Source organism: Homo sapiens, chromosome 1 (assembly GCF_000001405.40).
Source record: "Homo sapiens chromosome 1, GRCh38.p14 Primary Assembly".
Lineage (NCBI taxonomy): Eukaryota > Metazoa > Chordata > Mammalia > Primates > Hominidae > Homo > Homo sapiens.
Window position 1 is genome coordinate 46068162 of NC_000001.11, and position 22338 is coordinate 46090499.

The 22338-nt window shown below is 39.3% G+C and overlaps 2 protein-coding genes across 13 annotated transcripts in view; both read right to left on the reverse strand.

Moving 5' to 3' along the window:
- Nucleotides 1–22338, reverse strand: part of P3R3URF-PIK3R3 (P3R3URF-PIK3R3 readthrough) — a 136349-nt gene that overhangs the window by 28022 nt on the left and 85989 nt on the right. The window contains exons 2-3 of the mRNA NM_001303427.2: nt 12481–12589; nt 9354–9452 (exon numbers count right to left, since the gene is read on the reverse strand). Of these exons, the coding sequence (NP_001290356.1) occupies nt 9354–9452; nt 12481–12589 (208 nt within the window). The remainder of the gene's footprint in view (nt 1–9353; nt 9453–12480; nt 12590–22338) is intronic.
- PIK3R3 (phosphoinositide-3-kinase regulatory subunit 3) overlaps nt 1–22338 on the reverse strand; it is a 134762-nt gene that overhangs the window by 28022 nt on the left and 84402 nt on the right. For 10 of the 12 annotated variants that reach the window (NR_137329.2, NM_001328648.1, NM_001328649.1 and 7 more), the window contains 2 exons: nt 12481–12589; nt 9354–9452 (listed from right to left, as the gene is read on the reverse strand). The exons of 1 other annotated variant lie outside the window; for it this stretch is intronic. Coding sequence is in view for 10 of the 11 variants with exons in the window: in NM_001114172.1 (NP_001107644.1) it covers nt 9354–9452; nt 12481–12589 (208 nt within the window). In the remaining variant the exon portion in view is untranslated. The remainder of the gene's footprint in view (nt 1–9353; nt 9453–12480; nt 12590–22338) is intronic. One more of the 12 variants, NM_001328653.2, reaches the window with a different exon arrangement.

A 22338-nucleotide genomic window follows, 5' to 3' on the forward strand; every position in this document is an offset into this window, starting at 1 on the left:
GATGATAAATTATTTCTATTAAATATACATGAGAAGGACCATCTAATCATATACAGTTACTATAAATGTGTACACTCACACATACAATAATTGCAAGCTGGCCTCTCTGTTAAAGTTAAAAGACATTCATTCATTTAAAATTATGTGCTGAATATCTATGTGCCAGGAATTACACAATGCACTACAGATATATGATAAACAAGCCAGACACAGTCCATGCTCTCATGGAGCTTCCAGTTTAACAGCATAAGGAACATATCTCTGTCTTTCAGTTTATTAAGGAAGATAACAAACTTCTCAAGATAGAACACAAAAATAAACAACTAAATATACCAAATAGTAATAAGTCTGTTGGGAAAAAAAATAAAGCAGAGTAAAGGGAAAGGAGTTCTTGTGATGGAGGAATTGTTTGTACTGCTCAAGGAAAACCTCTCTGTTCAGGTGACATTTGAACAGAGTTCTAAGTGAAGTGAGGGAGCTAGTACAGCAGATATGTACGGGAAGTTTCCTAGAGAGAGGTGCGGTAAGGGCATGCTTGGCATGTTCGAGGAACAGCAAGAAGGCCAGTGATGCTGGGCCTGAATGACCAAAAGGGAGAGTAATAGGAGACTAGGTAAGACATGTAAAAGGAGCTTAGATTATGTAATAACAGTCTGTAGGTTACTGTAAGGGCTTTAGCTTTTACTGAGTGAGAAGGGGAGGCACAAAAAGGTTTTCAGTAGAATCATATAATCTATCTTGTGGCTTAAAAGATTCACTCTAGCTGCTGAGTTGAGAAAAGACTGTTCAAAGGAGGCAGCAGTAGAAGTGGAAAGATCACTTGTGAAACTTTTATAATAATCTAGGCAAGGCATGATGGTGTCTTGGATGAGGGTAGCAGTAGTAGAGGTCATGAGAAATAGTGAGATTCTTAACATATTTTGAAGATAGAGCTGACAGGATTTGCTGATGGCTTGGATACAAATATGACAGAGAGACAAGATAAAGATGATTTCAAGGTTTTTGTCATAAGCAATCAGAAGAATGGAATTGTCATTTATTGACATGAAGAAGGCTATTTAAAAAGAATGTGTTTAGACCAGGCACGGTGGCTCACGCCTGTAATCCCAGCACTTTGGGAGGCCAAGGCAGGCAGATCACTTGAAATCAGGAGTTCGAGACCAGCCTGACCAATGTAGTGAAACCCCGTCTCTACTAAAATACAAAAATTAGCCTGGCGTGGTGGAGGGCACCTGTAATCCCAGCTATTCAGGAGCCTGAGGCAGAAGAATTGCTTGAATCCAGGAGGCAGAGGTTGCAGTGAGCCGAGATCACGCCACTGCACTCCAGCCAGGGGTACAGAGTAAGATGCCATCTCAAAAAAAAAAAAAAGAATATGTTTAAAGGGGGAAAAAGTTTGGTTTTAGACACTTTAAGTTTGAGATGCCTCCTAAACATTCAAAAGCAGATGATCCAGCAGGCTACTTAAAGAATCTAAAGTTCAGGAGAAAGGTCTGGGCTAAAGATAGAAATTCAGGAGTTACCAGCCGATGTATGTTATTTGATGGTGAGCATAGCTGGACAGAAAAAGAGGTCCAAGGCCTAAGCACTGGGGTATGCCAATGTTTGGTGGTCAGAGACATGGAAGGAAGAATCAGCAAAGGAAACCAAAAGGGAGCAATTAATGAAGTGAGAGGAGAACTAAGAGTGTGATATCCTAAAAACCAATACGTACAAAAGCACTTCAACAAAGAGGAAATTATCAACCAAGTCCAATGATAATTAGGTTTGGCAAAGTAGATAGCACTAAATGAACTGACTAAATGGTTTCAGTGAAATGGTAAGGATAGAACCCTGACTGGAATGGATTCAAGAAAATGAAAGAAGATAGAAATGCCCATAGACAAGTGTCTCGAGGAACACTGCTATAAATAAGGGCAGAGAAATAGGGAAGTATCTAGAAAGAGATATAGGGTCAATTATTTACTATTCTTAAATGGGAGATAATAGAGTATATTTATATGCTGATGGGAATGACTCAATAGACAAAAATTGTTGATCCAACAAAGAGGACAAGATTATTCCTAGAGTGATGTCCTTGAGTAGATTAGAGGGATGGGATGGGATCCAGTCTACAAACAGAGAAGCAGACCCTGGACAAGGACATGAACAGTCATCCACTGGAACAGAAAAGCGGCAGACTATTCACATTAATGTGTAAATATGTTGATAGCTGTGGTAATAGGAGCATGAAGGAGTTCTCGTCTGACTGTGTCCATATATCAGTGAAATTAAAAGCAAGTTCTATAGTTAAAAGTGGGAAGAAAGGCTGTCCTTTAAAAGAGAAAAAAAGAACATGTGAAATTGTCATTTACGAAACTGACGAGGAAGCAGGATGAATGCATTGTGGAAATGCAGAAGTTAAGCTGGGCAGTTTTAAAGGTCACTTAAGGTTAGTGGTCATAATTAATGTGAAACCAGTCCATGTGGTCACGTCCCCTTCTCCACATTCAGCAGCTCAAGTATAGGGAAGGACTAAGTGGAGAACTGAATTTAATACCGTGTTGGAATTTAGTCTGGTGACTACACTGGAGGAAGAGAGGAGCAAGTTTGTTAAGGATATATTCACATGGGTAATTTTAATAATAATGTACATGGACTCTAAGCAGAGATGAGAGAAGGAAAGGAACTGAAGGTCATGCTAGTCCTCCTTGTATCTCAGCACCTAGTCCAATGCCTGGCAGATAGCAGATTCTTAAAGATTTGTTAAGTATCCAGATTTTCTACAACAAATACTATTTACCAATTTAAAAAATAAGAGCTATTGAACTGAAAAATCTCTATTTCTTCACTACCTACTACTCTCTGCAGTCTGGTTTTACTCTCATTCCTCTCATTTAAGAGTCACCAATGACTTTGAACAAATTCAGACTCTGTCCCCTTCCTTTATCCCAGGCCCTCCTTCTCCCTCACTCTCTCCCTTCTTAATATTTCATCCTTCCATAACTTTGATGAAATTATTATTTTCTTTCAACCTCTCAAACCACTCTTCCTGTCTCCTCCAACCCTAGTTATTCCCTAAAAAAAAATTTTGCCTTCAGCCTCCACCTTTTAAATTTTATATATTTTTTTCCATAAAAATCCCATTTATGCATATGGTAGCTTGACTCTTTCTCTGGTCCTGTACTCTCTCCTAAGCATTAAACCTAAATTTCTAGCTATATCCTAGATACATTTTTACCTTGCGGTTCTGGAGCAGCTAGAAGTCAACATCTATCCCCGCGGTAGCTCACGCCTATAATCCCAGCATTTTGGGAGGCCGAGGCGGGCAGATCACCTGAGGTCAGGAGTTCAAGACCAACCTGGCCAACATGGTGAAACCCTGCCTCTACCAAAAATACAAAAATTAGCTGGGCGTGGTGGCACACGACTGTAATCCCAGACTCAGGAGGCTGAGGCAGGAGAATCACTTGAACCTGGGAGGCGGAGGTTGCAATGAGCCAAGATTGCGCGCCATTACACTCTAGCCTGAGCAACAGAGCAAGACTCTGTCTCCAAAAAAAAAAAAAAAAATATATATATATATATATAGAGAGAGAGAGAGAGAGAGAGAGAGAGAGCGCGCGCCTGATCACAATTTCCCTGCCGAAAAAATGCAGTGGTTCTCCCCACCTACCTACAACATTAAATACATTAAATACAAACTCCCAAGTTTTGGAATTCAAGGCCCTCTTAAACATGACCCCTTTCCTACCTCCTATCCCCTACCACTTCTTCTTCACAAACTTTATCTTTTAGCCAAACAGGACTACATCTCACAGAAAGCAGCTATAAAATCTCACCTCCGTATATTTGCTCCTATTGTTATCTATTCCTGCTACTCCCCTCCCACTTTCTACATGTCCAAACCTATCCCCTTCAAGATATTCTGCAAATGTAATCTCTTCTGTGAAGGTCAGTTTTCTACATTCTCTTAACAAAGATATCTCTTTTCCTCCTTTCAGTCACCAAAGCATATTTTGTGAAACTCTCCTGCTATTAAACTTTCACTCAAAGCCATTTTCTCATTCCCTTTGTCCTCACTAGATTATACATTCCCAGAGACAAAAGTTTTAACTCATTGTTAGATACCCTGCAGAGTAATTAGCACTAAGTTGCAACTATTTATTAAATTGAATTAAGATCATCACTCTTCTGCCTTGCAAAAATCTATCAAGGCCTAGCTCAACTGTCATTTCCTGCGAGAAACTTTCTCTCTGTCTTTCTCTCATTAATTCTTTCATTCAAACATTTACTCAACACCTATCAAACACCTACTGTATGTCAGACCTTGTGATAGATACATGAAAACTTTCAAACATTCTTGCTAATGCTATCAAGTGATAAATGGATAAACAAAATGTAGTATATACATATAGCAGACTATTATTCAGCCTTAAAAGGAATGAAATTCCACAACTTAGTGTGGGATTAAAACCATTTTCCAGATAAATAAGAAGCATATTCATCTATTAAATAAGTATTTATAAGCTGGGCATGGTGGCTCATGCCTGTAATCCCAGGACTGGGGAGGCCAAGGTGGGAGGATCACTTGAGACCCTTAGCGTGAGACCAGCCTGGGCAACATAGTGAGACCTCATCTCTACAAAGAAATTTTTACAAAATTAGCCACCAGGCATGGTGGCACACCCCTGTAGTCTCAGCCACTCGGGAGGCTGAGGCAGGAGCCTCAAGGCTTCAGTGAGCTATGATCACATCACTGTACTCTAGCCTGAGTGACAGAGAGAGACCCTGTCTCAAAAATACAAATATAAATAAATATATATATATATATATATTAGGCATCCATTCTCTAATGCTTACCCAGTATCAGGCACTAATCTAGACACTGGAGATACAGCAATCATTAAACAAAATCCCCAACCTCAGATAATTTAAATTGTAGTAGGCCAAGACAGACTAGGTGGGAAGGGAGAAGAAAATAGACAGTGAGCTGCCCATACAGTGAATTAGTCAATGCCACAGGTCTACATGAGTCAGACTATTCTGACTGTTGCTTTGCTTCTGCTGTCTGTTATGATAACCATGTCCACCTTGCCTTTGTCAAATGAGTCCCTTCACTTGGCCTCTGCTACCCTGGAATCCAGTTATTCCCATTGCATTTAAATTTTTCAATTGAGTGACTGCAGTTTCCATTTTAAGGTCCGGCCTACAGAGAAGGGCAATCATGGCATTTAGGGATGATGGGGTTCTCCTCACAAATCTGTTTCTCAAAGTACTGCTGAAAAGTATGTGATCTGGACTCACCCAGTGTAAATAAGTAGATTTTAAGTGACAAATCCACTGTAGCAACCCAGTCTCCTGCCTAAGCCTTTGAATCTCTTCCTCTGTGTTAACCAAGGTAGATCAGACACTTCCAGCTGGCTCACAGTAGGCCATCTTTTCATCCATGTTTCAGCCAACTAACCAAATAAACCGTTGCCTTTCTTTTTTCTTTGAGATGGAGTCTTGCTCTGTCACCCAGGCCGGAGTGCAGTGGCGCGATCTTGGCTCACTGCAACCTCCACCTCCCAGGTTCAAGCGATTCCTCTGCCTCAGCCTCCCAAGTAGCTGGGACCATAGGCGCATGCCACCACATTCAGTTAATTTTTTTTTTTTTTTTTTTTAGTATTTTTAGTAGAGACGGGGTTTCACCATGTTGGCCAGGCTAGTCTCTAACTCCTGATCTCATGATCCGCCTGCCTTGGCCTCCCAAAGTGCTGGGATTACAGGAGTGAGCCACCATGACCGGCCAACTGTTGCCTTTTCTAACTCCCTGAGCCACAATATTAAATGCAGAATGTGTTTGGTGGGCCAAAAACAAATTCAGCTGGGCGCGGTGGCTCATGCCTGTAATCCCAGCACTTTGGGAGGCCGAGGCGGGCGGATCACGAGGTCAGGAGATCGAGATCATCCTGGCTAACACAGGTGAAACCCCGCCTCTACTAAAAATATAAAAAATTAGCTGGGCGTGGTGGCGGGCGCCTGTAGTCCCAGCTACTCAGCAGGCTGAGGCAGGAGAATGGTGGGAACCTGGGAGGCGGAGCTTGCAGTGAGCCAAGATCAGCCACTGCACTCCAGCCTGGGCGACAGAGCTAGACTCCGTCAAAAAAAAAAAAAAAAAAAAAAAAAAAAAAACCAATAAATTCAGCCTGACTCAACTTTATGTTCCTTCCACCATTATCTCACACCCTAAATACACCCTAAATATCTATTCCCATACATATTTTCCAGATTTCTCCTTGTATAAATTAGAAACCTCAAGTAGCTTTTTTACCATGTAGCACATCTCCTCATGAGTAAAACTTTGTACCTCATCTTTAGGGGCTGCTGGGACTCAAGTCTAGCTATAGGTCTAGAAGCAAAGAGGTGTGGTGGGGGTGGGTCCTGAGAAGACTCAGCATCCTCTGGCTTAGCAGCTGCCTAGAGGAAGGCCATTATGGTTTCCTCAGGCAATGCAGAGTCAATCCCCTCAGACAAAGGTGGAAAGGCCAGTGTAGGGGGGATGCTGTTACTGGGGGTGGGAGGCCATTTCTGCTGGCAAACAAGACTCATCAGAATTTAGGAGCTCAACGTCCCCAGCCTCATCAGGGTCTTCCCACACATCCCCATCCAAACGTATAGAATTCCATCTTTCCCAACCAATGCCCTCATTTTAACAGCAGATACCTTACAAGGCTGATATTTCACCTTTGATTGTAATTCAGCTAATCACATGATGAGAGTATGTGTTTGATTTTGTGCAATTTCAGACCTTTGGCAACAGAAGAGAAGATTCTGACTTAGGGCATATTTAGAAGCTCTTGGGCTATTTATGGCAGAGCTGGGGCCAGGAAATCAAAACCCTGAGCTCACCCTTTTCTTTCATCACTTCGTCCAGCAATATTAGAAAACCTTGGTTTTCTACAAACGTTTGACAGTATCAAATACAGGGTTGCCAAGTTCCTTGCCTCTTATAGGTGGTAAATTAGAAGTATCAAATGCAGATATTTAGCATATCGCTATATAAACAGTTCACAGCATGGACTGTCAGTGCTCTCTGTACTATTAGAAGTAGGGTCCTTAGCATTTTTAAGTCTCATCAAATTAAGAGAGCCAATTCCGGGAACCCCAAAATTAATTAAGGAAACTCATCCTTAAAATTCTCTTCCTCAGGCTGGGCACAGTGGCTCACGCCTGTAATCCCAGCACTGGAAGGTCGAGGCAGGAGGACTGCTTGAGCCCAGGAGTTTTGAGACCAGCCTGGGCAACACAGGGAGACTCCATCTCTACAAAAAATAAAAAACACAAAAACTAGCTGGGTGTGGTGGCATGCGCCTTTGGTCCCAGCTACCCAGGAGGCTGAGGTAGGAGGATCACTTAGGCCTGGGAGGTTAAGGTTGCAGTGAGCCATGACCATGCCACTGCACTCCAGCCTAGGAGACAGAGCAATAACCTGTGTTAAAAAAAAAAAAAATTACCTTCCTCTAGAATCATTCCTGGTACCAAATCTGTGTTAATCAGAGTTCTCCAGAGAGACAGAACCAATAGGAGAGAGACAAAGATAAATATGAGGGGATTTATCAGGGGAATTGGCTCACATGTTTATGGAGGCTGAGAAGTCCCATTACAGGCCATCTGCAAGCTGGCATGCCAGTAGTGTGGCTCAGTCCAATTCCTAAAGCCTCAGAACCCAGGAAGCCAATGGTATAACTCTCAGTCCAAGACTGAAGGCCTTGAGAACCCATAGGGGGTGAGGAGGATTGGTATAAGTCCTGGAGTCCAAAGGCTGGAGTTCTGATTTCCAAGGACAGAATAAGAGTGTGCTCCAGCTCCAAGACAGAGAGATAAAATTTTTTTCTTTCTTTTTGTTCTATCCTCAGCCAATTGGATGGTGCTCACACTGAGGGGCGATCTTCCTTACTCAGTCCACTGACTCAAATGCTAATCTGCTCTGGAAACACCCTCACAGACACATCCAAAATAATGCTTTACCAGTTCTCTAGGTAATCCAGCCAAATTGACACTTAAATTAATCATCACATATATTAAGGCCATGGGACAGGACAAGCTCACCTTAAGAGAATGAATACAGAGAAGAAAAAGAGGCCCAGGTCCCAAGCCCTGGAACACTTAAAATTTAGATATTGAGCAAAATAGCTTAAAGTTAGGAAGAAAATCAGGAAAGTGTGACGTCTTAACAGCCAAAACAATAAACTGCTTCTAAGAAGAAGTGTCTATGACCAATGCTGCTAAGAGGTCAAGTAAGGTAAGAAGAGAAAAGTGTTTAGCAGTCTCCGTGGAGTGGTGGAGACAGAAGCCTGAGTGGAGTAGAGGAAAAATTGTGTTCAATGAATTACTGTAGAACACTGATTAGTCAGCACAATTCAAGTGCAAAGGTATTAATTTCTTTAGCTCTTTACCAGAAACTAAAATAGTGCCTCCAAATTTATGCCATACTAGCATAAAATGAGGCATTATTTTTCCTAAAGATATTAGGCTGGAAAGGCAGCAAACAGCCAGATGAATCTGGATTTAAACTCTTCCTCTACCACTTTCTAACTATGTGACTTTAGGCAAGTTCCTTAACCATGTTAACCCTTAGTTACCTCATCTATAAAATGGGAATAGTAATAATACCTACCTCATAAGGTTGTTGTGAAGAATAAATGATCTATTGCATGTAAAGGCCTTAGTACAAGAAAGTTAGTCATTGTTATTGTTACTGTTATTTTCTTTTTGTTAAATATTTCCTTTTTAAAAAAAATCATAAGGCTTTATTGTAACTGGGCTACTTTAATTATTAAAATTAAATGTGGAAATTTCTCATGCAGTTTTCTTAACCTTTTAAAAATATGTGCAAATATTAAAAAATCATATATCCATCACTTAAAAGACTCTAAATATGCCCATATGAAAAGCATGATATACGCTAGGAACTGCTTTATCTTCAGCATATCCTCATCAACCAAAATTATGTTGAGTTCTGCTTTCTAAAGTCTGCATTAAGGAAGATAATAGGGTTATTCAAAGGATAGATTCATTTTTACCCTTAGAATATGCCCATGACTTCTACTTCCTTTATAAGGTCAACAGTATGCTTCCTACTCCCTTACATTTTGGGATTTTAACCTTTTCATTTTCTTTCTACATTTTTTTAAGTTGCCATTTTTATACAAAATGTTTAAATACTTAATGTATAGAAAAAAGAATTAGCCAGACTGGAAATTATGTACATAAATTAAATGAAAATATGAAAAATTGTATAGATAAAGATTTAAATACAGAAATATCTGTATACCCAGAACTAAAATAACATCAGTAGAGAACTAGCCAAAAGACTGAAAAGTACTTACCGCAAAGTCAAAGTATAATCTCCCTGCATTTTTGTTGAGGCATCTCGGACCAAGAAGGTCCCATCTGGCATATCCCGCAATTTGTCATTTACCTCCTCCCTGAAGAACAGAATTATAAGAAAAATGAAAAAATGTCAACACTGGTGGCTTCGGCAGTAGGTGTGCCTTCTTTACATGTTACTACTAAGGCAGCTTCGGCAGTAGGTGTGCCTGAGGTTATAGAATAACGGAGCCATTTAGAGGTCATTTAGTTCTTCCCTGCATTAAATATGCTCTTTCTGTTTTGATTTTTGGTGTTACGCAATCTACAGAAGAGCTATTTGATTTTTAAACTCTTCCAGATTTCAAATGTGTGTAAGAGATACTGTTTCCATCAAGCCTTTAAGGGTTTCCTTAGGCAGGTCTGAACTTGTAAAGTTTCAGGAAAAAAACAGTGGCTGTTTAGAAAGAAGGTTATATTTAAGCAACAGTGGCAGCTGTTTCTGAACAGAAGGGGGAAAATTCACTAAGTTCATAACCTTTCAATAGGATAGTCTCCTAGTTTGAATTTGTCCCGATAACAAATTCCTTCTGTAGAGTTGATTTAGGACTTTAAGGCACAACACTAGAACACTTAAAGGAAATGGCAGGGCATAAAAGACCCTTGAATCATATCAGAACCACATGATCTTAAAATTTAAAAAAAGACTTTTATTGTACAATATTAAAATAGAAATATTCTAACCAATTTTAAAATAAAATGGCTGGGTGCAGTGGCTCACGCCTATAATCCCAGCACTTTAGGAGGCTGAAGCAGAGAGGTCACTTGAGGTCACGGGTTCGAGACCAACCTGGCCAACATGATGAAACCCTGTCTCTACTAAAAATACAAAATTAGCCGGACGTGGTGGCAGGGCAAGCGCCTGTAATCCCAGCTACTTGGGAGGCTGAGACAGGGGAATCACTTGAACCTGGGAGGCGGAGGTTGCAGTGGGCTGAGACTGCACCACTGCACGCCAGCCTGGGGGACTGAACGAGACTCTATCTCAAAAAAAAAATTTTTTTAATAAAACATATTAAGTCCTCTTCAAAAAGTTAAACACAGAATTACCTACCATATGACCTGGCAATTCCATTCCACTACTGGGTATATACCCAAAATAACTGAAAGCAGGGACTCAGATATGTGTGCACCAATATTAATTGCAGCATTATTTACAACAGCCATAAATTAGAAACAATCTAAATGTCCAGATGAATGGATTAAAAAAATATATAACATATACATATATTAGCCTTAAGAAGGAATGAAATTCTGACACATGCTACAACATGAATGAACCTTGAAGACGTATGAAGAAAGTGAAATAAGCCAGTCACAAAAGTACAATTATTATATGATTACACTTATGCAAAGTACCTACAATTGAATTCATAAGACAGAAAGCAGAATGGTGGTTGCCATGAGCTGAGGGAGGGGAGAATGGGGGGTTATTGTTTAATGGGTACAGAATTTCTGTTAGGGAAAATGAAAAAGTTCTGGAGATGGATGGTGATGATAGCTGCACAACAATGCAAATGTACTCTTAAAATAGTTGAAATCGTAAGGGTAAAAAAAAATTAAATAAATACCATTTTGGTAGAGGAAGAGAACAGAGAAGAGAAAGGGATAGGTAAGTGTTCTGAGGAATACAGCATCAACCTGGAAACTGATTTGACAGAAATGGATAGGGCTTTAAAAAGAAAATACATCTGAGACCCACTAAAGCAAGTTTAACAAGAAAAAAATTTAGTAAGAAAATACAATATTCAAATTAAATGTATATAATTCCCTCTTTAGGTTCAAAATTACCTAAAACTACACTTTACCCAGAAAACAAATCTGTCCTAGAGTCCTGTTTATCAAACTGGGGTGTGTAAAGAGACTGCATCAAATTCACCCAGGGAATCTATTAAATGCAGATTCCTGGGCTCCACCTCAATTGATTTTTGTGCATGCAAAGACTTTGGAACCACTGGCTTAAGAGAAAGAAAGGTACAGAAATGTTAAGTACCCACAAATATTTTTAATTCTAAAACACATGTAACTATCCTAAATGTCTACATGTCACTTATTTAGAAATCCATCCTCAATATAGTATTAGAAGTAATAATCACACCCATAATTTAAAGATTTTCAGCCAGGTGCAGTGGCTTACACCTGTAATCCCAGCACTTTGGGAGGCCAAGGTAGGTGGATCACCTGAGGTCAGGAGTTCGAGACCAGCCTAGCCAACATGGTGAAACCCTGTCTCTACTAAAAATACAAAAACTAGCAGGGTATGGTGATGCATGACTGTAATCCCAGCTACTTGGGAGGCTGAGGCAGGAGAATCGCTTGAACCCAAGAGGCGGAGGTTGCAGTAAGCTGAGATCATGCCACTGCACTCCAGCCTGGGCAACAGAGTGAGACTCCATCTCAAAACAAATAAATAATGAAGATTTTCTTGTCACTTTTTCATGGGAAGAAAAGTATTAAGACACTAATGAAGCGTTCCCATGCAAAATTTTTTAAGTGAGCTTTTTCTTTTCTTTTTTTTTTTTTAAGAGACAGAGTCTCACTCTGTCGCCCAGGCTGGAGTGCAGTGGCACTATCTCGGCTCACTGCAACCTCCGCCTCCCAGGTTGTAGCAATTCTCCTGCCTCAGCCTCCCAAGTAGCTGGGATTACAGGCGCATGCCAACATGCCCAGCTAATTTTTTGTATTTTAGTAGAGACAGGGTTTCACTGTGTTGCCCAGGCTGGTCTCAAACTCCTGAGCTCGGGCAATCCACCCACCTCAGCCTCCCAAAGTGCATGGCTTACAGGTGTGAGCCACTGCACCCGGCCTTAAATGGTAATCTTTAAATAACAATTAGTAGAGCATTACAATGCTCTTTTTTTTTGAGAGTTGGGGGTCTTACTCTGTTGCCCAGGCTGGAGTGCAACAGAGTGCTCTCTACAGCCTCGAACTCCTGGTATCATGTGATTCTTCAGCCTCAGCCTCCTGAGTTGCTGGGATTATAGGCATGAGCCACCATGCCCAGCTTAAAATGGTTTACTTTAACTACTAATTCTCAAAAATGACTTTTTAAAAAACTGCATTCAATTACAGTAGCATTCTAGTTACCTTGAAATATCCCCCCAGTACCATTCTGCATCCTGAAGAGAAACAGAACTGTCCTTCATTCCATTTGGAACTGCTGAAGTCATTGGCTTAGGTGGCTTTGGTGGAAGAGCTAGAAGAGAAATGAATATTACTCTGTAGATGTAAATTATTTACTGTTTTCTAATTTCCTCAGGAGCAGCTCACTAACCAAGGTATGTTAAGATTCTAATAATTATCAATCAAATTGAGTATTATTTTATGTTAAATGTTAGCAACAGAAGGAATCCTTTTGATTGCCTAAAAAGTGAAAACGTCAAGATATTTGTTTTTTTCCTTCTTATGAAACATTGACTTCTAAGTCTGTAAAACTTCATTCACATCTCTCAAAAGACAACATGCAACCCCTTTTCCAAACAACTCAGTCCAAAAGCCACTAAGTGACCAATGTACAACATGAGGATTATAGTTAATAACATTGTATTATATACTGGTAATCTGCCAAGTGAGTAAATTTTAGGTATTCTTACTACCAAAAAAAAGGGTAACTATGAAATGATGGTTATGTTATTAATAATTTGCTCAACTGTAATAGAATGAACCCCCTTGTCTTGGACTAGAATTAGAGCTACAGATATCAACTCATGAATTTCAATGTATATAAACATAAATATGTAAATGTCTATACACAGAATACATATATTCCCTAGCTCTGTCCCGAGACAGAGATTCCCTAACCCCCGGGCTGCGGACTGGCACTGGTCCACGGCCTGTTAGGAAAAGCGCCACACAGCAGGAAGTGAGCAGTGGGCAAGTGAACATTACTGCCTGAGCTTCGGCATTAGATTCTCATAGAAGCACAAACCCTACTGTGAACTGCACATGTGAGGGATCGAGGTTGTGTGATCCTTATGAAAATCTAACTAATGCCTGATGATCTGAGGTGGTATAGTTTCATCCTGAAACCAATACCCCCAGCCTAACCCCACCCCAGCAATGAAACTGGTCCCTGGTGCCAGAAAGGTTGGGGACTGCTGCCCTGAGAGGTCCTGGGGGCAACAACACCCCAATATGTACACTGAGCACCTAGACCTTGCTTTCTAATACCATTCTCTACTAAAAGGAACCAGGGCTCTTTGAAGAAATTGCTGATTCCAGGGACAGAATAGAGCAAGTACCAAATGAGCCTGAACATCATCATGTGCCAAAAAGGAAGGAAGTGCTCAAAGAATGGGAGAGGCTATGTTAAAAGAACAAAACAGCGAACTGGAAGGGGCTCTCACTGACCAAATCTGGAACAGCTGGCATATCAATACAAATAATAATAGTAAAGAAATATAACTCATTAAACAAAATAGGAATATATGTGTTCATGCAGATATAAATAAATAAATAAATAAATAAAAGAAACAAAGATCGATGAGGACCAAGATTACTGTTATCTCAATATACTGTCCCACAAAATCCTAACTGCAAAAGGAAAAACAATAATAGTGAAAAAGCCTGGCAAATACCACCTTAATCAAGAATCAAGGTTAATATTAGAAATAATGGCAAAACTGTGGGCCCCAATACAATACACTAAAAAGGATGTAACATCACTTCTGTGACATTCCTGCCAAATATGTATAAACTGAATCTAATCATAAAGAAACATCAGACAAACCATGATTGAGGGGTATTCTACAAAATAACTTACCTGTAATCTTCAACAATGTACAGGTCATGAGGGTCAAGGAAAGACTGAGGAAATGTTTCAGATTGAAGAAGACTAAAGAATCCTGACAATTAAATGCAATGTGTAATTCTGGACTGGATATTTTTTGCTATTAAGGACAACACTGCGACAATGGGCAAAACTTGAATGGGATCTGAGTATGACATAGTAGTAGTACAGCAGTGTTAGTTTTCTGATTTTGATGGTTATATTGTGCTTCTGTAGGAAAATGTTCTTGTTTGTGGGAAATACACACAACATGGTCATCATATGGCATCACGTTGACAATCTACTTTCAAATGATTCAAAAAAATTATGTTCTTTGAACTGTACTTGTAACTTTTTTGAGATTGTTTCTTTTTTCTTAATTTAACCAAAAAATTGTAAGCAATCTTGGGGGGAAGGAGAACAATGTGAATATTTCCCCCCAAAGAGAAGTCCCTTAGTTGGCCGGGTACGGTGGCTCACACCTGTAATCCCAGCACTTTGAGAGGTGGAGGCGGACAGATCAGCTGAGGTCAGGAGTTCGAGGTCAGGAGTTTGAGACCAGCCTGGCCAACATGATTAAACCCCATCTCTACTAAAAATACAAATATTAGCTGGGCGTGGTGGTGCACACCTGTAATCCCAGCTACTCGGGAGGCTGAAGCAGGAGAATTGCTAGAACCCGGGAGGCAGAGGTTGCAGTGAGCCGAGATTGCACCACTGCACTCCAGCCTGGAGACAGAGTGAGATTTTGTCTCAAAAATAAACAAATAAAGAAATAAAGTCCCTTAGTCAACTGATTTTCAACATGGATGTCAAAATAATTCAATGAGGGAAAGAATATTCTTTTTAACAAATTGTTCTGGAACAAGCAGATATCCACATGCAAAAAGAATGAAGTTGGATCCCTGCCTCACACCAAAATTAACTAAAAATTGATCAAAGACCTAAATATCAAGACCTAAAACTATAAAATTCTTACAAGAAAAAATAGGCTTAAATCTTTGTGACTTTAGATTAGGTAATGGTTTCTTAAATATGACACTGAAAATAACAAACAAGAAAAAAATAGATTAACTGCATCAAAATTAAAAACTTCTGTACTTCAAAGGACATCACCAAGAAAGTGAAGAGACAACCTATAGCATGGGAGAACGTTTTTGTAAGTAGAAATGATAAAATATATTTTTGTAAATATTTGTAAATGTATCTATAAATATATTTTTGTACTTGTATCTAAATACATAAAAGAATCCTTTCAATTCAATAAAAGACAAATGACCCAATTAAATATGGGGAAAGGATCTGAATATATATTTCTCCAAAAGACAAACAAGTGGCCAATAAGCACATGAAAAGATACTGAACATAATCAGCCAACAGAGAAATGCACATCAAAACCACAGTGAAATACCACTTCACACCCACTAGGATGACTATAATAAAAAAGACAGATAATAACAAGTGTTGGTGAGGATGTAGAGAAATTGGAATACTCATAGACTGCTGGTGGGAATGTAAAATGATGCTGCTGCTTGGAAAACAGTCTAACCTCCTCAAAAGGTTAAATGCAGAGTTGCCCAGCAATTTCACTCTTACATATACCCAAGAAAAAAGAAGCATGTATCTACACAAAAACTTGCACATGAATGTTCATAGTAGCTTTATTTATAATGGCCCAAAAATGGAAAACAACCCAAATATCTATCAACAGACGAATAGATAAATAAAATGAGGTATATATCCATACAATAGATTATTCAGCAATAGAAAGGAATGAGGTACTGATATGTTACAACATGGACGAATCTGAAAACATTTTGCTGAGTGAAAGAAGCCTGTCATGAAAGGCCAAATATTATATAATCCCATTGTCCAGAATAGGCAAATCTATAGAGACGGAAAGTAAATCAATGGTTGGCTAGGGCTGGGGAGTAAAGTGGGAAATAGGGAGTGACTGCTAATGTATAAAGGATTTCTTTCAGGGTAATGAAAATATTCCAAAATTGGCTATCATGATGGTTGTACAACTCTGTGAAGATACTAAAAATCACTGAGTTATACAATGTGGGTGAACTGCATGGCATGTGAATTATATCTCAATAAAGCTGTTTTAAAATAAATAAATATCAGGCTTCTGACATTACCAGATGGGGGTGGATTTGCTATAATCCATACTTTTTTTCAAAGTAGCTAAATAACCATCTTGTTTGAAAAGGATTTTATGTGACTTATAAAAGTAGCTACAGTTTGAACTATAACTTAGCAAAATTTATAATTCTTCTACTTACCCACTTAACACAAGAATTAACAGTGTAAACTTGTGCTATACAAAGCACTGCACTATAGCTATGAAAAGTTACAAAGACAAGGTGTTCCCTGCACTCAAAAGAACAAATCCAGAGAGAATGACACATAGAAATACCTAACTATAATACTCATCAGAATGGGGTAAAAAGCAAATTGTAACAGAAACCCAGCAAAAGGGAAACTTTAAGGTCAAACACTAAGCTTCTCAAATCTAGTCCTTAGTGATTTGAGTACATGACCAACAGGGCTCAAGAACCAATGTGCTTCATTGTATCAGCAGGTGGGTTACACTCTAATCACCTTCAAACGGTGTTATGGAGACTTTTCTACATCCCTTCACTGGAGGAGCTCTATATTGAGATGAGTTGAGCTGACCAGACTGCATGAGGAAGCTGCTATTTATGGATAATGATAGTTCACAGACAGCTCTACCACCAACAAACATGTAATGACCATTTCACATCTATTACAGAGGGCTGCCTCCTTGTATCTTGCTGTTCTCAACTACAGAAATGTAAGAAGAATGAAATTATTATAAAGGCAGTTGCTACATAAAGTTGCTAAAAGAACACAATCATAAGATCTGAACTGAATGCAATACTGGCCTATTTCTACATTCCTACTATCTATAATCACTCCACACATACATAGGCAAATATGTATTGAACACCTCCCATGTTCCAGAAGCTGTGAACATAACAATGAACTAGATTAGATAGACACAGTCTCCATACATATGGACTTTATAATCCAAAAGGATAAATTTCAAGATAATTCATTGTTCCTAAAATTGTGAGTACACTCAAATGTAGCTCTATCAAACTAAACTGAATCTTCCATCTAAATGTTTTACCTTCTCTGAGAGTTGCTCCCCACCCTCCCATGTAGATTGTAGAATATACTGGGCAAATGTGAATAAAAATTTATCTCCTAATAACCTCCTAATTGCATGAAGATAAGCAGATTTATATCTATCTTCCAGGTTGTGATATTATAAATAAAGGTAAAATAATTCCAAATCATTAAGCTTTTAAGTAGTTCAAAAGGACTATCTTGAGGGAAAAACTGATTAGGATACATTAGTTATCTTTTCAACTCCTTGACAAAGTAGTTCTTGCATTAGGTGAGCACTGCAATGCTGAGTGATAAGTTAGGTGCACCTAAGCAAATACCTTCTGAAATGAGTATCCATAAAATATATAGCACTTTTATTTCCATTTAGTAGACAATGAAAAATATTTCTCTTTCCATTTTTAGAAACTATATTACAAGTTTGGGTTTTTTTCAAAATTGTGAGACAGGGTCTCATTACGTTGCCCAAGCTGGTCTCGATCTCCTGGCCTCAAGTAATCCTTCCGCCTTGGCCTCCCAAAGTGCTGGGATTATATGCATGGGCCACTCACGCCTGGCCTATATTAACAAGTTTTAAAATATTAGCAATACAGAAAGATATTTTCAATTCCGTTTTAATTAATATGTAGCTATATGAAGAAACATAGAGACATATAGATGTTTTAAGTGTGTGTATGTGTGCATATAGATATGTGTGCATAGAAACATATGAAGAGTACACAAACTGTTAATAGTGAATACAATAGGGATGGGGAACAGCAGAGAACACTGTAGGTATGTATGTATATTGTATATGTTTTCTTTATATGTTTTAACAACAAAAATGGTGCCAGGTGCAGTGGTGTGCACCTATACCCCCAGCTACTCGGGAGGCTGAGATGGGAGGATTGCTTGAAGCCAGAAGTTCGAACCCACAGTGTGCTATGATTGCACATGTGAATAGCCACTGCACTCCAACTTGTAATCCCTGAACTTTGGGAGGTCGAGGCAGGTGGATCACCTGAGGTAAGGAGTTTGAGACCAGCCTGGCCAACACGGTGAAACCCTGTCTCTACTAAAAATACAAAAATTAGCTGAGAGTGGTGGCAAGCACCTGTAATCCCAGCTACTCGGAAGGCTGAGGCAGGAGACTCGCTTGACCCCGGGAGGCAGAGGTTACAGTGAGCCGAGATCGTGCCATTGCACTCCAGCCTAGGCAACAAAGTGAGACTGTCTAAGAAAAAAAAAGCAATCTGATTCACACCACTGTACTCTGGAAAGGCCAGGAACTGGAAGCACAATGCATCTCTGAAGGGAGGATTGAGTCATGTGGCCAGAAACAGAAGAGTTGGCTGACAATCTATAGAAAGAGCAGTTAAGTCCTTAGTTCTCCTCCCTACCTGCCCAAGCAACCAGGCAACTACCCATCCTCCACCCTAGATAAAGGCTGCCTGTCAACTCACCAGTCCAGAGAAACAATCAGAAAGGCTCTGGACTCTTCATCCATGTCCCTACAAAGGACATAAACCATCATTCTGAGCGAACTATCGCAAGGACAGAAAAACCAAACACTGCATGTTCTCACTCATAGGTGGGAACTGAACAATGAGAATACTTGGACACAGGGTGGGGAACATCACACACCAGGGCCCGTCGTGTGTGGGGGAATGGTGGAGGGATAGCATTAGGAGATATACCTAATGTAAATGACAAGTTGATGGGTGCAGCACACCAACATGGCACATGTATACATATGTAACAAAACTGCACGTTGTGCACATGTACTCTAGAACTTAAAGTATAATAATAAAAAAAAGAAAGATACAGCATGCTCAGTGCTGTGTTTTAGAATGTAAAAAAAAAAAGAAAGAAAAAAGAAAGGCTCTGGACTCAGGGAACACCAAGCTCGCTGAGAATAGGGGTGAGCCCTATATTGAAAACGGCATAACTAAAGAAAAGTTTACCAAACAGGTAGATTCCCCTATCCCTTTCTGGTTACCTAAACAATGAGCTGTCAAGCATATACCCCCAGTCAGGAGTTGGGAGATTTTTTCCACAGAAACTGACAGGACCCTAAAAAGCATCTAAAAATACAGATATTCTAGGGTTACCCAATGAAAAACATATTCATCTTTTTTTTTTTTTTTTTTTTTTGGTAGACACAGGGTCTCACTATATTGCCAAGGGTGGTCTCGAATTCCTGGGCTCAAATGATCTTCCTGCCTTGGCCTCCCAAAGTGCTGGAGTACAGGTGTGAGCCACTGCACCTGGCAGGTATTCATCACCTTATCACTTCTCAGTGAAGGCCTCCAGTTAACAAGTTCCTGCCCACTCACATGGAGCTTCAAAATGGATGAACATTGAAAATATTATGCTAAGTGAAATAAGCCAGTCACAAAAAGACAAGTATTATGATTCTTCCTACATGAGGCTACTAAAGTGTCAAATCCGTAGAGACAGAAAGTAGAATGCTGTTGGCCAAGGGCTGAGGGAAGGATGGAATAGAAGTTAGTATTTAATGGGTATAGAGTTTCAACTGGGGAAAATGAAAAAGTTCTGGAGGTGGATGGTGGTGATGGTTGCACAACAGTATGAATGTACTTAATGCCACAGAATTTAAACATTTTTAAATGGTTAAAAACAGCTGAGTGTGATGGCTCATGCCTCTGATCTCAACATTCTGGGAGGCCAAGACAGGAGTATTGCTTGAGCCCAAGAGTTTGAGACCAGCCTGGGCAACAGAGCAAGATCCCATCTCTAAAATAAATAAATAAATATTTTAAAAGAAACAGATAAAATGGTTAAAATGATAAATTACATGTTACATATATTTACCACAACTTAAAATAAAAAAACAACAGACATTTGAGGAAAGCCATTACATTAAAGGTGACCAAAACAAGAAGAAACTTGGGAGTAACCAGAGAATTAAAGGGAAAAAAAACTTCACAGACACACAAAGACAGCATAATATCTCAGATATATAAAAGGAAAGACTGCATCTATGAAAGACAAACAAGATCTATATCAAAGTAACATTCAAAGAACAAGAGCCCTTATATATTAAAATTATGCTAGAAAAATTTTTAAGTTGTTCACAATCTGGCAGGTAAAGCTGAAATCTCCCAGGAAGTGGAACAAAGAGAGAAAGTAATGAAAAAATAGGAGAAAGATAAGAGAATCAGAGGATCAACTCAGAAGATCCAGCATCAAACTAATAGAAGTTCCAGAAAGCAGGAAGAGAAACATTAAAATAAATAAGAAAAAATTTTCAGAACTGAAGGACACACATTTCCTGAATGAAAATGCCCACAGAGTATGCCACACAATGAATGAAAAAGATCCATATCAAGCTACACCCCTGTGGAATTTCACAACACTGGGGGAAAAGAGAAGGTCCTAAAATCTATCACAAGGGGAAAAAAAAAAAAAAAGGTCACAAAGGACTAAAGAATGTCTTTGGGTTGCTCAACAACACTGGAGACTAGCAACACTGAAGATAAACCTTCCAAATCTGAGGGAAAATGATTTTTCAAGCTAGAATGATATATCCTGCCAAATTATCAATTACATATGATGGTAGAATAGATATTTTCAGATATACAAGATCTCAACCAACTTATCTCTCAGCATCCTTTCTTAGGAAGCTCCTGAATGATGTGCTCCACCAAAATGAAGAAATAAACTAGGAAACCAGGCGGTGTAAAATGCAGGAAAATGGATGCCAACACAAGAGAGAAGCAATGGCAATGCCCAGCATAATGCTGAATGCAGTACTAGGATGACAGCTGAAAACAAGTTAGAATTCAAACAGGAGGATGAAGGGCAGTTTAGAGGGTATGTTTAAGAAAAGAATGGAAATGGTAAATTATTTGATGTTTAACCATACTGTGATGAATTTTATGGTTCTGTTATATGGCTCTGTCAGAACCATAAAATTCTGTCTTTAAATTTATATAAAGAAAGGAAATGAGGCCAGGTGTGGTGGCTCACGCCTGTAATCCCAGCACTTTGGGAGGCCAAGGTGGGCGGATCACGAGGTCAGGAGATCAAGACCATCCTGGCTAACACAGTGAAACCCCATCTCTACTAAAAATGTAAAAAATTAGCCAAGTGTGGTGGTGTGTGCCTGTAGTTCCAGCGACTCGGGAGGCTGAGACCGGAGAATTGCTTGAACCTGGGAGGCAGAGGTTGCAGTGAGCCGAGATCACGCCACTGCACTCCAGCCTAGGCAACAGAGTGAGACTCCATCTCAAAAAAAAAAAAAAAAGAAAGGATGCAATTATAGTATACTAATGGCTTAGCTGTGAACACTGTACAGTAATAATAGTGTAAATATTGGAAGATAATTTAAGAAAGTTATAATTGTGATATAAATACACTGGAAAAATGCATAGAAGGAAAGAGTGTATGGCATAAGAGAAGTAAATCACTATCTTCCTTAGAAGGAATAAATAACATCAAAAAGTGAAAAATTATAAATAGCAGTATTACCGTATTACAAAAAATAGGGAGGTAAAACACCAGAAGAAAAGGCCGGAAGAGTTAAGTGTTGCCCCTAGGGGCTAGAAAGTGGCAGAAGAGAGGGTAGGACAGGCAACTGATGATTTTGTACTATAAACCTTGTAGTACTTTTTGACTTTTTAAACTATAAACCCATATTGTTTTAAGATAAAAATAAAAAGAAACCTAGAGTTTATTCTGATTCCACCACTTAAACTAGATTTGGTAAATTATCTCACCTCTCTGAACCTTAAGTTTCATGCTATGTTGAATTCAACTTGTACAGGCTAGTGAGAGCTGATTGTTGTATTTTCAGGAATTTTGCAAACTGCTGTTCTACGCAGTCTTTTTTATTTATTTATTTATTTATTTATTTATTTATTTTTTTGAGACAGTCTCCCTCTATTGCTCAGGATGGAGTGCGGTGGCGCAATCTCGGCTCACTGCAACCTCCACCTCCTAGGTTCAGGCGATTCTCCTCCCTCAGCCTCCCGGGTAGCTGGAACTACAGGTGTGTGCCACCATGCCCGGCTAGT